Source organism: Homo sapiens, chromosome 12, assembly GCF_000001405.40.
Source record: "Homo sapiens chromosome 12, GRCh38.p14 Primary Assembly".
NCBI classification, from domain to species: domain Eukaryota; kingdom Metazoa; phylum Chordata; class Mammalia; order Primates; family Hominidae; genus Homo; species Homo sapiens.
In genome coordinates this window covers 92,314,586-92,329,575 of record NC_000012.12, presented here as the reverse complement: position 1 = coordinate 92,329,575, position 14,990 = coordinate 92,314,586, and the positions used below count along the sequence as shown (strand labels likewise).

Sequence of the window (14,990 nt, the reverse complement as noted above, 5' to 3'; positions counted from 1 at the left end):
TGCTAACAGGTATCTCATCTATGGATTGCTATTCATCTACTTGGTATATTGTAGAGGAATTGTATAGTTTTATAATTGTGTCATCACTTTCACGTGGTGAGCCCCTTGAGTGAAGGGCCATAACTTTTCTGATTTTGTACATTTACCACATGGTAGGAACACAACAATTTTTTGCTGAAACATGTTGAATTGGATACACAGAGAAATCAATATTGGCTAAGGATGTATTTCAGAGTTTAGCACCCATGTTCTATAAAGGACTATATACTTTTTTTTTCTTTTTAAGATGGAGTCTTGCTCCGTTACCCAGGCTGGAGTGTAATGGTGCGATCTCGGCTCACTGCAACCTCCGCCTCCTGGATTCAGGCAATTCTCCTGCCTCAGCCTCCTGAGTAGCTGGGACTACAGGTGGCCACCATGCCCAGCTAATTTATTGTATTTTTAGTAGAGATGGGGTTTCACCATATTGGTCAGGCTGGTCTCAAACTCCTGACCTCAGGTGATCCACCACCTCAACCTCGCAAAGTGCTGGGATTACAAGTGTGAGCCACCACTTCTGGCCAAAAGGACTATATACTTAAATGAATGGGTGTAGTTATGTTCAAATAAGACTTTATTTGGCCTTTAGGCTATAATTTGCCAACGCTTGATATATTGTATGCCAACAAGCGCAGATTAGGAGTGGGAATAGAGGAACCCTTCCAAGCAGAAGAAACTGCATATGCTAAGATGCTGGTGGCAGTATATGTTCAAGGAAAAACATAAACTAGCATGGTTGATTCATGGTGTACATGGTAAAGGAATAATAATAGCTAAAAACTACAGCCAGGTGAGGTACTGCACATCTGTAATCCCGGCACTTTAGGAGGTCGAGGTGGACAGATCGCTTGAGCTCAGGACCAGCCTAGGCAACATGGCAAAACCCCATCTCTACAAAAATTACAAAAATTAGCTGGACATGGTAGTACACATGCCTATAGTCCCAAATACTCAGGAAGCGGAGGCAGGAGGATGGCTTGAGCCCAGGAGGTGAAGGCTACAGTGAGCCAAGATCATGCCACTGCACTTCAGCTTGGGCAACAGAGTGAGACCCGTCTCAAAAAAAGATAAAACTGGAAAAGTGGGCCATGAGGATGGAGGAGCTCAAATGCCAGAGGAAGGAGTCTATTCTGATCTCAGTAGGTATGGGAATGTCATTGAAGTTTCTGAGCAAATTAGAGGCCTGACAGTTACTGTCTATCAGAACCTAATCTGTCCACATGTATAGTAGGAACACATAGATCAACAGGTTTATGAGATCACCTAAGCACAAAAATGATGACAGTAAAAATGGAAAGACAAGAGTAAAAATGAGAGCAGAAGAGGCAAAATTGGCAGGACTTGGCAATTGGTTTGTATGTCAGTGTGGAGAGAATAAAAGGTGACACTGAGTTTCCTAGGTGGGTGCCCGGGAATACAGCAGATCCAGTAATAAATCAGGAAGGTAAGATAAGGGACTTGTTTCAGAAAAAAGGAGGAAAGGAAGGAAGGAAGGAAGGAGAGAGAGAGAGAGAAAGAAACAAAGACAGAGGAAAGGAAAGAAAGGAAAGAAAAAATCGAAGGAAGGAAGGAAGGAAGGAAATTTGTTTCAGACATGTTAAGTCTGATTTTAATACTTGTTTTGCCTGGTCAAATGCTGTAACTAATGACAGCATTCCTTTCCAAATGTGGATTAAAGTGTTTCTGACATTTGGCAGGGAAAAGACTTTTAAGCTCTTTTCTGAAACATACCTTTCCATGATGTTTGATTTCTGTTGTTTTTTTTTTTATTTTAACCTGCACTTGTCCTAACAACTAAAGAATACCTAGATACCCAGTTCTCCCTCGTTCCCTGGGTCTTTTAATTTTCCAGTTATGTGCTATGTAATTCTGAACCAATTACTTTAGGTTTCTACATCCTCCATAAAATGGGGAAAATCAATTGTCAGAGCAGGAGATTTGGGTCCTTCCTATGAACTGTGATTACTGAGATAAGTACAGTAAGAGTATAATCTTATGATAAGAACACAATAACCTTAGGGTCAAGCTAGAGGGACAATTAAATTCCCATTATAAAATATGTCCTGAAGGAAAACCAATGTGACATGCAGAAACTGAGGCTCAGAACTTTTGAGTTCTGAGTCGGGCTACAAATTTTGTTAAGAAGAAATAGCTAAAAGCAGAGGCAGAGCAACCAAGTTGAATCACAAGATTGAAATTCATGTAAAGAAATCCGGTGAGGTTGGCCAGGCATGGCCACTCACACCTGTAATCTCAGCACTTTGGGAGGCCAAGGCGGCTGGATCACCTGAGCTCAGGAGTTCGAGACCAGCCTGGGCAATGTGACAAAACCCCGTTTCTACCAAAACAGAAAAAAATAGCCAAGCGAAGTGGTGTGCACCTGTAGTCCCAGCTACTTGGGAGACAGGAGAATCACTTCAGGCCAGGAGGTGGAGGTTGCAGTGAGCCAGAATCGTGCCACTGCAGCACTCCACCTGGGTGACAGAAGTGAAATCCTGTGTCAAAACAAAACAGAGAGAGAGAGAGAGAGAGAGGAAGGAAAGAAGGAAGGAAGGAAGGAAGGAAGGGAGGGAGGGAGGGAGGGAGGAAAAAAGGAAGGAAGGAGAGTAAACCTGGTGAAGTTGAAAATACAGAAGATTAGCAGAGGAGAAAGTGGCAAAGTTCTTGGGGTCCCCAGTGTCAGTCAAGGGCAGAGGTGGTTTAATACATAACTCAACACAATTGGAAACTACACTCAACCACCTGCAATATAAACAGACAAACAAAAACCCCATAGAGGCTTAAAAAAGATGATCAAATCAGAAGTTACAAGAAAAATTGCAAATAAAAACCATTCTGCAAGCTGAATAACATCTGTAGTTGAGTTCATCATAATTGTATCAATGATAATTTCTTAGTTCCAACAAATGTAGCATGGTTATGTAAGATGTTAACATTAGAGAAAGCTAAGCGAGAAAGTATATGGAAATTCTGTACTATCTTTGCAACTTTTCTGCAAATCTAAAATCATTCCACAATTTTAGAGACTTGCTGAGTCTTCCTGCCCTTGAACATCAGACTCCAAGTTCTTCAGCTTTTGGACTCTTGGATTTACACTAGTGGTTTGCCAGGGGCTCTCAGACCTTTGGCCACAGACTGAAGGCTGCACTGTCAGCTTCCCCACTTTTAAGGTTTTGGGACTTGGACTGATCCACCGGCTTCCTTGCTCCTCAACTTGCAGACAGCCTATCGTGGGACTTTACCTTGTGATCATGGATCATATGGATGGGAGGCAGGACTAGATTGCAGCTCCAACTCAGATGGTCAGAGCAGTGTGTGGAGGCTTGCATTGTGAATTTTTGCTCCAGAACAACTGCAGGAATAAATCAGGAAACCCAAGAGGACCCACAGACCCCCTGAAGGAAGCGGATGGCTTCTGCAGAACCTGGGAGACACCACAAATACTGTGAGTGCTCAAACTGTGGAAGTGAGAAAGGGAGAACATCTGGCCCCAAACACACACCTCCACTCGGAACACTGAAGGCTTACATTACGGGAGAAGATTCTGATCTTACCTGGAGCTGAGTCAATTTGGAGAGCCAAGAAAAATGCAGGAGTAGAAGAGGCAGTGGGAAAAGCCCTGGGAGCTTGCTGGGCCCCCTAGCAAGTTGTTTTTGCCTAGCCTCACAGGGGTCCTTTGGGAGGGTGGCCAGAGATGCTGAGCAAAGGCTAAAGGGAGAAGAAAATCTCCAGCTGAACTTTGTGACAATTTGAACTGTTCAAGAGCCCTTCTGGCCAGAACTTGGGGGAGGGTGTGAATCCAGTGTGCAGACTCCACAGGTAGGGGAAGAAGGAAAGCCATATTTGCTTTTGCAGCTTAGAGGCGGGTAGCCTGGGGCAAGTTCTCAGCCCTGCTCACCCACTGCCTGAAAACAGACTTGGTGCTGTTGGTGGGGGCACAGTGGGAGTGAGACCAGCCCTTCAGATTGCCTGGGAGCTGGGTGAGGCCTGTGACTGCTGGCTTTCCCCCATTTCCCTGACAACCTGCATGACACAGCAGAGACAGCCATAATCCTCTTAGGAACATAACTCTGTTGACCTGGGAACCTCACTCCATCCCCCACAGCAGTCGCAGCAATACCTGCCCAAGGAGAGTCTGAGCTCAGACGTGGCTAGCCCTGCCCCCACCCAGTGGTCCTTCCTTACCCACCCTGCTAGCTGAAGACAAAGGACATATGCTCTTGGGAGTTCTAGGGCTCCACCCACCACCTGCTCCTCCCCATACTACCACAGCTGATGCTCTTTGGAAAGTGCCACCTCCTGGCAGGAGGCCAATCAGCACAAAAATTGGGCATTAAACCACCAAAGCTAAGAACCCTCACAGAGTCCATTTCACTCCCCTGCCACCTCCACCATAACAGGTGCTGGTATCCGTGGCTGAGAGACCCACAGATGGTTCACATCACAGGACTCTGTACAGACAACCCCCAGTACCAGCACAGGGCCTGGTAGACTTGCTGGGTACCTAGATCCAGAAGAGAGATAACAATCACTACAACTTGGTTCTCAGTAAGCCACATCCACAGGAAAAGGGGGACAGTACTACATCAAGGGAACACCCCATGGGACAAAATAATCTAAACAACTGCTCTCAACCCTAGACCTTCCCTCTGACAGAGCCTACCCAAATGAGAAGGAACCAGAAAACCAACTCTGGTAATATGACAAAACTAGGTTCTTTAACACCTCCAAAAAAATCACACTAGCTTACCAGCGGTGGACTCGAACCAAAAAGAAATCCCTGATTTATCTGAAAAAGAATGCAGGAGGTTTGTTATTAAGCTAATCAGGGAGGCACCAGAGAAAGGCGAAACCCAATATAAGGAAATCCAAAAAATGATACAAGAAGTGAAGGGAGAAATATTCAAGGAAATATATAGCATAAATAAAAAACAATAAAAATGTCAGGAAACAATGGACACATCTATAGAAATGCAAACTGCTCTGGAAAGTCTCAGTAATAGAATTGAATAAGTGGAAGAAAGAAATTCAGAGCTCAAAGACAAGGTCTTCGAATTAACCCAATCCAACAAAGACAAAGAAAAAACAATAAGAAAATATGAACGAAGCCTCCGAGAAGTCTGGGATTATGTTAAACAGCCAAACCTAAGAATAATCAGTGTTCTTGAGGAAGAAGAAAAATCTAAAAGTTTGGAAAACATATTTGGGGGAATAACTGAGGAAAACTTCCCTGGCCTTGCCAGAGACCTAGACATCCAAATACAAGAAGCACAAAGAACACCTTGGAAATTAATCACAAAAAGATCATCACTTAGGCACATTGTCATCTGGTTATCCAAGGTTAAGACAAAGGAAAGAATCTTAAGAGCTTTGAGACAAAAGCACCAGGTAACCTATAGAGGAAAACCTATCAGATTAACAGCAGATTTCTCAGCAGAAGTTCTACAAGCTAGAAGGGGGGGAGGCCCTATCTTCAACCTCCTCAAACAAAACAATTATCAGCCAAGAATTTTGTATCCAGTGAAACTAAGCTTCATATATGAAGGGAAGATACAGTCTTTTTCAGACAAACAAATGCTGAGAGAATTTACCACTACCAAGCCACCACTACAAGAACTGCTAAAAGGAGCTCTAAATCTTGAAACAAATCCTGGAAACACATCAAAACAGAACCTCTTTAAAGTATAAATCTCCTAGGACCTACAAAACAAAAATACAATTTAAAAAAACAAAACAAAAAAAAAAACAACAAGGTATACAAGCAACAAATAGCAAGGTGAATGGAATGGTACCTCAATCTCAATACTGACATTGAATGTAAATGGCTTAAATGCTCCACTTAAAATATACAAAATTGCATAATGGATAAGAATTCACCAACCAACTATCTGCTGCCTTCAAAAGATTCACTTAACACATAAGGACTCACACAAATTTAATATAAAGGGATAGAAAAAGACATTGCAGGCAAATAGGCACCAGAAGTGAGCAAGAGTAGTTATTTCTTATCTCAAACAAAACAAACTTTAAAGCAACAGTGGTTAAAAAAGACAAAGAGGGGTATTATATAATGATAAAAGGCCTTGTCCAACAGGAAAATATCACAATCCTAAACATATATGCACCTAACACTGGAGCTCCCAAGTTTATAAAACAATTACTAATAGACCTAAGAAATGAGATAGAAAGCAGTATAATAATAGTCATGGACTTCAATACTCCACTGAGAGTACTAGACAGGTCATCAAGACAGGAAGTCAACAAAGAAACAATGGATTTAAACTATACCCTAGAACAAATAGACAACAGATATATACAGAACATTCCATCCAACAACTGCAGAATATACATTCTATTCAACAGTGCATGCAATTTTCTCCAAGATAGACCGTATAATAGGCCACAAAGCAAGCCTCAATACATTTATGAAGGTTGGAATTACACCAGGCACTCTCTCAGGCCACAGTGAAATAAAACTGGAAATCAACTCCAAAGGACCCTTCAAAACCATGCAAATATGTGGAAATTAAATAACCTGCTCCTGAATGATTATAAGCTCAAAAATGATATCAAGATGGAAATTTAAAAATTCTTTTTTTTTTTTTTGAAACGGAGTCTTGCTCTGTCGTCCAGGCTGGAGTGCAGTGGCTCGATCTCGGCTCACCGCAAGCTCCGCCTCCCGGGTTCACGCCATTCTCCTGCCTCAGCCTCCCGAGTAGCTGGGACTACAGGCGCCTGCTACCACGCCCGGCTAATTTTTTGTATTTTTAGTAGAGACGGGGTTTCACCGTGTTAGCCAGGATGGTCTCGATCTCCTGACCTCGTGATCCGCCCGCCTCGGCCTCCCAAAGTGCTGGGATTACAGGCGTGAGCCACCGCGCCCGGCCTTAAAAATTCTTCAGACTGAACAATAGTGACACAACCTATCAAAACCTCTGGGACACAGCAAAGGTTGTGCTAAGAGGAAAGTTTATAGCCCTAAACGCCTACATCATAAAGTTTGAAAGAGCACAAACAGAAAATATAAGGTCACACCTCAAGGAACTGGAGAAACAAGAACAAACCAAACCCAAACCCAGCAGAAGAAAGGAAAGAGCAGAACTAAATGAAATTGAAAGAATCAAACAAAAAAATGCAAAAGACAAGTGAAACAAAAAACTCATTCCTTGAAAAGATAAATAAAATTGATAGACTATTAGCAAGATTAACAAAGAACAGAGGAGAGAAAATCCAAATAACCTCACTAATAAATGAAATGGGATTTATTATATCTGACACCACAGAAATACAAAAGATCATTCAAGGCTATTATGAACACCTTTATGTGCATAAACTAGAAAACCTAGAAGATATGGATAAATTCCTGGAAAGATACAACCCTCCTAGCTTAAATCAGGAAGAATTTGATACCCTGACCAATAACAAGCAGCAAGATTGAATGGTAATTTAAAAATTACCAATAAAAAAAGTCCAGCAGATTTCTACCAGACATTCAAAGAAGAATTGTTACTCATCCTATTGACACTCTTGCACAAGATAGAGAAAGAGGAAACCCTCCCTAAATCATTCTATAAAGCCAGCATCACCCTAATACCTAAACCAGGAAAGGACATAACCAAGAAAGAAAACTACAGACCAATATCCCTGATGAACATAGATGCTAAAATCCTTGACAAAATACTAGCTAACTGAATCCAACAACATATAAAAAAGATAATCCATCATAATTAAGAGGGTTTCATACCAGGGATGCAGGGATGGTTTAATATACCAAGTCAATAAATGTGACACACCACATAAACAGAATTAAAAACAAAAATCACATGATCATCTCAATAGATGCAGAAAAAGCATTCTACAAAATCCAGCATCCCTTTATGATTAAAACTCTCAGCAAAATTGGCATACAGGGGACATACCTCAATATAATAAAAACTGTCTATAACAAACCCACAGCAAACATCATAGTGAATGGGGAAAAGTTGAAAGCATTCCCTCTGAGAACTGGCACAAGACAAGGATGCCCACTGTCACCACTCCTTTTCAGCATTGTACTGGAAGTCCTAGCCAGAGCAATCAGACAAGAGAAAGAAATAAAGGGCATCCAAATCGGTAAAAAGGAAATCAAACTGTCACTGTTTGCTGATGATATGATTATTTACCTAGAAAACACTACAGATTCTTCCAGAAAGCTCCTAGAACTGATAAAAGAATTCAGCAAAGTTTCTGGATACAAAATTAGTGTACACAAATCAGTAGCTCTTCTATACACCAACAGTGACCAAGCTGAGAATCAATCAAAAACTCAACCCCTTTTACAATAGCTGCAAAATAATTAAATACTTAGGAATATACCTAACCAAGGAGGTGAAAGACCTCTACAAGGAAAACTACAAAACACTGATGAAATAAATCACAGAAGTCACAAACAAATGGAAACATATCCCATGCTCATGAATGGGTAGAATCAATATTGTGAAAATAACCATATTGCCAAAAGCAATCTATAAATTAAATGCAATTCCCATCAAAATACCACTATAATTTTTCACAGAATTAGAAAAAACAACTCTAAAATTCATATGGAACCAAAAAAGAGCCCCCATAGCCAAAGCAAGACTAAGCAAAAAGAAAAAATCTGGAGGCATCACATTCTCCAACTTCAAACTATACTATAAGGTCATAGTCACCAAAACAGCATGGTGCTGGCATAAAAATAGGCACATAGACCAGTGGAACAAAATAGAGAACCCAGAAATAAACACAAATACTTATAGCTAACTGATCTTCAACAAAGCAAACAAAAACATAAAGTGGGGAAAGGACACCCTTTTCAACAAATGTTACTGGGATAATTGGCTAGCCACATGTAGGAGACTGAAACTGGATCCTCATCTCTCATCTTATACAAAAATCAACTCAGGATGGATTAAGGACTTAAATCTAAGACCTGAAACTATAAAAACCCTAGAAGATAACATTGGAAAAACCCTTCTAGACATTAGCTTAGGCAAGGAGTTCATAACCAAGGAACCAAAAACAAATGCAATAAAAACAAAGATAAATTGCTGGGACTTAAACTAAAGAGCTTTTGCACGGCAAAAGGAACAGTCACCAGAGTAAACAGACAACCCACAGAGTGGAAAAAATCTTCACAATATATACATATGAAAAAGGACTAATATCCAGAATCTAAAATAAACTCAAATCAACAAGCAAAAAACAAACAATCCCATCAAAAGTGGGCTAAGGACATGAATAGAAAATTCTCAAAAAGAAGATGTACAAATGATCAACAAACATATGAAAAAATGCTCAGCATCACTAATGATCAGGGAAATGCAAATCAAAATCACAATGTGATACCACCTTACTCCTGCTACAATGGCCATAATCAAAAAATAAAAATACAGTAGATGTTGGCATGGATGCAGTGAACAGGGAGCACTTCTACACTGCTGGTGGGAATGTAAACTAGTACAATCGCTATGGAATACAATGTGGAGAATTCTTTTTTTTTTTTTTAATTGTACTTTAAGTTTTAGGGTACATGTGCACATTGTGCAGGTTAGTTACATATGTATACATGTGCCATGCTGGTGCACTGCACCCACTAACGTGTCATCTAGCATTAGGTATATCTCCCAATGCTATCCCTCCCCCCTCCCCCCACCCCACCACAGTCCCCAGAGTGTGATATTCCCCTTCCTGTGTCCATGTGATCTCATTGTTCAATTCCCACCTATGAGTGAGAATATGCGGTGTTTGGTTTTTTGTTCTTGCGATAGTTTACTGAGAATGATGGTTTCCAATTTCATCCATGTCCCTACAAAGGACATGAACTCATCATTTTTTATGGCTGCATAGTATTCCATGGTGTATATGTGCCACATTTTCTTAATCCAGTCTATCATTGTTGGACATTTGGGTTGGTTCCAAGTCTTTGCTATTGTGAATAATGCCGCAATAAACATACGTGTGCATGTGTCTTTATAGCAGCATGATTTATAGTCATTTGGGTATATACCCAGTAATGGGATGGCTGGGTCAAATGGTATTTCTAGTTCTAGATTCCTGAGGAATCGCCACACTGACTTCCACAATGGTTGAACTAGTTTACAGTCCCACCAACAGTGTAAAAGTGTTCCTATTTCTCCACATCCTCTCCAGCACCTGTTGTTTCCTGACTTTTTAATGATTGCCATTCTAACTGGTGTGAGATGATATCTCATAGTGGTTTTGATTTGCATTTCTCTGATGGCCAGTGATGATGAGCATTTTTTCATGTGTTTTTTGGCTGCATAAATGTCTTCTTTTGAGAAGTGTCTGTTCATGTCCTTCGCCCACTTTTTGATGGGGTTGTTTGTTTTTTTCTTGTAAATTTGTTTGAGTTCATTGTAGATTCTGGATATTAGCCCTTTGTCAGATGAGTAGGTTGCGAAAATTTTCTCCCATGTTGTAGGTTGCCTGTTCACTCTGATGGTAGTTTCTTTTGCTGTGCAGAAGCTCTTTAGTTTAATTAGATCCCATTTGTCAATTTTGGCTTTTGTTGCCATTGCTTTTGGTGTTTTGGACATGAAGTCCTTGCCCACGCCTATGTCCTGAATGGTAATGCCTAGGTTTTCTTCTAGGGTTTTTATGGTTTTAGGTCTAACGTTTAAATCTTTAATCCATCTTGAATTGATTTTTGTATAAGGTGTAAGGAAGGGATCCAGTTTCAGCTTTCTACATATGGCTAGCCAGTTTTCCCAGCACCATTTATTAAATAGGGAATCCTTTCCCCATTGCTTGTTTTTCTCAGGTTTGTCAAAGATCAGATAGTTGTAGATATGCGGCGTTATTTCTGAGGGCTCTGTTCTGTTCCATTGATCTATATCTCTGTTTTGGTACCAGTACCATGCTGTTTTGGTTACTGTAGCCTTGTAGTATAGTTTGAAGTCAGGTAGCGTGATGCCTCCAGCTTTGTTCTTTTGGCTTAGGATTGACTTGGCAATGCGGGCTCTTTTTTGGTTCCATATGAACTTTAAAGTAGTTTTTTCCAATTCTGTGAAGAAAGTCATTGGTAGCTTGATGGGGATGGCATTGAATCTGTAAATTACCTTGGGCAGTATGGCCATTTTCACGATATTGATTCTTCCTACCCATGAGCATGGAATGTTCTTCCATTTGTTTGTGTCCTCTTTTATTTCCTTGAGCAGTGGTTTGTAGTTCTCCTTGAAGAGGTCCTTCACATCCCTTGTAAGTTGGATTCCTAGGTATTTTATTCTCTTTGAAGCAATTGTGAATGGGAGTTCACTCACGATTTGGCTCTCTGTTTGTCTGTTGTTGGTGTATAAGAATGCTTGTGATTTTTGTACATTGATTTTGTATCCTGAGACTTTGCTGAAGTTGCTTATCAGCTTAAGGAGATTTTGGGCTGAGACGATGGGGTTTTCTAGATAAACAATCATGTCGTCTGCAAACAGGGACAATTTGACTTCCTCTTTTCCTAATTGAATACCCTTTATTTCCTTCTCCTGCCTGATTGCCCTGGCCAGAACTTCCAACACTATGTTGAATAGGAGTGGTGAGAGAAGGCATCCCTGTCTTGTGCCAGTTTTCAGAGGGAATGCTTCCAGTTTTTGCCCATTCAGTATGATATTGGCTGTGGGTTTGTCATAGATAGCTCTTATTATTTTGAAATACGTCCCATCAATACCTAATTTATTGAGAGTTTTTAGCATGAAGGGTTGTTGAATTTTGTCAAAGGCTTTTTCTGCATCTATTGAGATAATCATGTGGTTTTTGTCTTTGGCTCTGTTTATATGCTGGATTACATTTATTGATTTGCGTATATTGAACCAGCCTTGCATCCCAGGGATGAAGCCCACTTGATCATGGTGGATAAGCTTTTTGATGTGCTGCTGGATTCGGTTTGCCAGTATTTTATTGAGGATTTTTGCATCAATGTTCATCAAGGATATTGGTCTAAAATTCTCTTTTTTGGTTGTGTCTCTGCCCGGCTTTGGTATCAGAATGATGCTGGCCTCATAAAATGAGTTAGGGAGGATTCCCTCTTTTTCTATTGATTGGAATAGTTTCAGAAGGAATGGTACCAGTTCCTCCTTGTACCTCTGGTAGAATTCGGCTGTGAATCCATCTGGTCCTGGACTCTTTTTGGTTGGTAAACTATTGATTATTGCCACAATTTCAGAGCCTGTTATTGGTCTATTCAGAGATTCAACTTCTTCCTGGTTTAGTCTTGGGAGAGTGTATGTGTCCAGGAATGTATCCATTTCTTCTAGATTTTCTAGTTTATTTGCATAGAGGTGTTTGTAGTATTCTCTGATGGTAGTTTGTATTTCTGTGGGATCGGTGGTGATATCCCCTTTATCATTTTTTATTGTGTCTATTTGATTCTTCTCTCTTTTTTTCTTTATTAGTCTTGCTAGCGGTCTATCAATTTTGTTGATCCTTTCAAAAAACCAGCTCCTGGATTCATTGATTTTTTGAAGGGTTTTTTGTGTCTCTATTTCCTTCAGTTCTGCTCTGATTTTAGTTGTTTCTTGCCTTCTGCTAGCTTTTGAATGTGTTTGCTCTTGCTTTTCTAGTTCTTTTAATTGTGATGTTAGGGTGTCAATTTTGGATCTTTCCTGCTTTCTCTTGTAGGCATTTAGTGCTATAAATTTCCCTCTACACACTGCTTTGAATGCGTCCCAGAGATTCTGGTATGTGGTGTCTTTGTTCTCGTTGGTTTCAAAGAACATCTTTATTTCTGCCTTCATTTCGTTATGTACCCAGTAGTCATTCAGGAGCAGGTTGTTCAGTTTCCATGTAGTTGAGCGGCTTTGAGTGAGATTCTTAATCCTGAGTTCTAGTTTCATTGCACTGTGGTCTGAGAGATAGTTTGTTATAATTTCTGTTCTTTTACATTTGCTGAGGAGAGCTTTACTTCCAACTATGTGGTCAATTTTGGAATAGGTGTGGTGTGGTGCTGAAAAAAATGTATATTCTGTTGATTTGGGGTGGAGAGTTCTGTAGATGTCTATTAGGTCCGCTTGGTGCAGAGCTGAGTTCAATTCCTGGGTATCCTTGTTGACTTTCTGTCTCGTTGATCTGTCTAATGTTGACAGTGGGGTGTTAAAGTCTCCCATTATTAATGTGTGGGAGTCTAAGTCTCTTTGTAGGTCACTCAGGACTTGCTTTATGAATCTGGGTGCTCCTGTATTGGGTGCATAAATATTTAGGATAGTTAGCTCCTCTTGTTGAATTGATCCCTTTACCATTATGTAATGGCCTTCTTTGTCTCTTTTGATCTTTGTTGGTTTAAAGTCTGTTTTATCAGAGACTAGGATTGCAACCCCTGCCTTTTTTTGTTTTCCATTGGCTTGGTAGATCTTCCTCCATCCTTTTATTTTGAGCCTATGTGTGTCTCTGCACGTGAGCTGGGTTTCCTGAATACAGCACACTGATGGGTCTTGATTCTTTATCCAACTTGCCAGTCTGTGTCTTTTAATTGCAGAATTTAGTCCATTTATATTTAAAGTTAATATTGTTATTTGTGAATTTGATGCTGTCATTATGATGTTAGCTGGTGATTTTGCTCGTTAGTTGATGCAGTTTCTTCCTAGTCTCGATGGTCTTTACATTTTGGCATGATTTTGCAGCGGCTGGTACCGGTTGTTCCTTTCCATGTTTAGCGCTTCCTTCAGGAGCTCTTTTAGGGCAGGCCTGGTGGTGACAAAATCTCTCAGCATTTGCTTGTCTATAAAGTATTTTATTTCTCCTTCACTTATGAAGCTTAGTTTGGCTGGATATGAAATTCTGGGTTGAAAATTCTTTTCTTTAAGAATGTTGAATATTGTCCCCCACTCTCTTCTGGTTTGTAGGGTTTCTGCCGAGAGATCCGCTGTTAGTCTGATGGGCTTTCCTTTGAGGGTAACCCGACCTTTCTCTCTGGCTGCCCTTAACATTTTTTCCTTCATTTCAACTTTGGTGAATCTGACAATTATGTGTCTTGGAGTTGCTCTTCTCGAGGAGTATCTTTGTGGCGTTCTCTGTATTTCCTGAATCTGAACGTTGGCCTGCCTTGCTAGATTGGGGAAGTTCTCCTGGATAATATCCTGCAGAGTGTTTTCCAACTTGGTTCCATTCTCCACATCACTTTCAGGTACACCAATCAGACGTAGATTTGGTCTTTTCACATAGTCCCATATTTCTTGGAGGCTTTGCTCATTTCTTTTTATTCTTTTTTCTCTAAACTTCCCTTCTTGCTTCATTTCATTCATTTCATCTTCCATTGCTGATACCCTTTCTTCCAGTTGATCGCATCGGCTCCTGAGGCTTCTGCATTCTTCACGTAGTTCTCGAGCCTTGGTTTTCAGCTCCATCAGCTCCTTTAAGCACTTCTCTGTATTGGTTATTCTAGTTATACATTCTTCTAAATTTTTTTCAAAGTTTTCAACTTCTTTGCCTTTGGTTTGAATGTCCTCCCGTAGCTCAGAGTAATTTGATCGTCTGAAGCCTTCTTCTCTCAGCTCGTCAAAATCATTCTCCATCCAGCTTTGTTCCGTTGCTGGTGAGGAACAGCGTTCCTTTGGAGGAGGAGAGGCGCTCTGCGTTTTAGAGTTTCCAGTTTTTCTGTTCTGTTTTTTCCCCATCTTTGTGGTTTTATCTACTTTTGGTCTTTGATGATGGTGATGTACACATGGGTTTTCGGTGTAGATGTCCTTTCTGGTTGTTAGTTTTCCTTCTAACAGACAGGACTCTCAGCTGCAGGTCTGTTGGAATACCCTGCCGTGTGAGGTGTCAGTGTGCCCCTGCTGGGGGGTGCCTCCCAGTTAGGCTGCTCGGGGGTCAGGGGTCAGGGACCCACTTGAGGAGGCAGTCTGCCCGTTCTCAGATCTCCAGCTGCGTGCTGGGAGAACCACTGCGCTCTTCAAATATGTCAGACAGGGACACTTAAGTCTGCA

The 14,990-nt window shown here is 40.7% G+C and overlaps 1 long non-coding RNA gene across 2 annotated transcripts in view, besides 2 other annotated features; it reads left to right on the top strand.

Annotated features, from left to right (window-relative positions):
- The window catches only part of LINC02391 (long intergenic non-protein coding RNA 2391), a 104,570-nt gene that overhangs the window by 34,257 nt on the left and 55,323 nt on the right, over window positions 1–14,990 (top strand). The window lies entirely within an intron of this gene.
- Window positions 3,495–3,995: an enhancer, noted in NCBI's record as "H3K27ac hESC enhancer chr12:92719357-92719857 (GRCh37/hg19 assembly coordinates)". NCBI's record gives its function as "activates a minimal SCP1, AML or CMV promoter by ChIP-STARR-seq in naive H9 embryonic stem cells {active_cell/tissue: H9 hESC(naive)}" and the evidence as "EXISTENCE:reporter gene assay evidence [ECO:0000049][PMID:30033119]".
- Window positions 3,996–4,496: an enhancer, noted in NCBI's record as "H3K27ac hESC enhancer chr12:92718856-92719356 (GRCh37/hg19 assembly coordinates)". NCBI's record gives its function as "activates a minimal SCP1, AML or CMV promoter by ChIP-STARR-seq in naive H9 embryonic stem cells {active_cell/tissue: H9 hESC(naive)}" and the evidence as "EXISTENCE:reporter gene assay evidence [ECO:0000049][PMID:30033119]".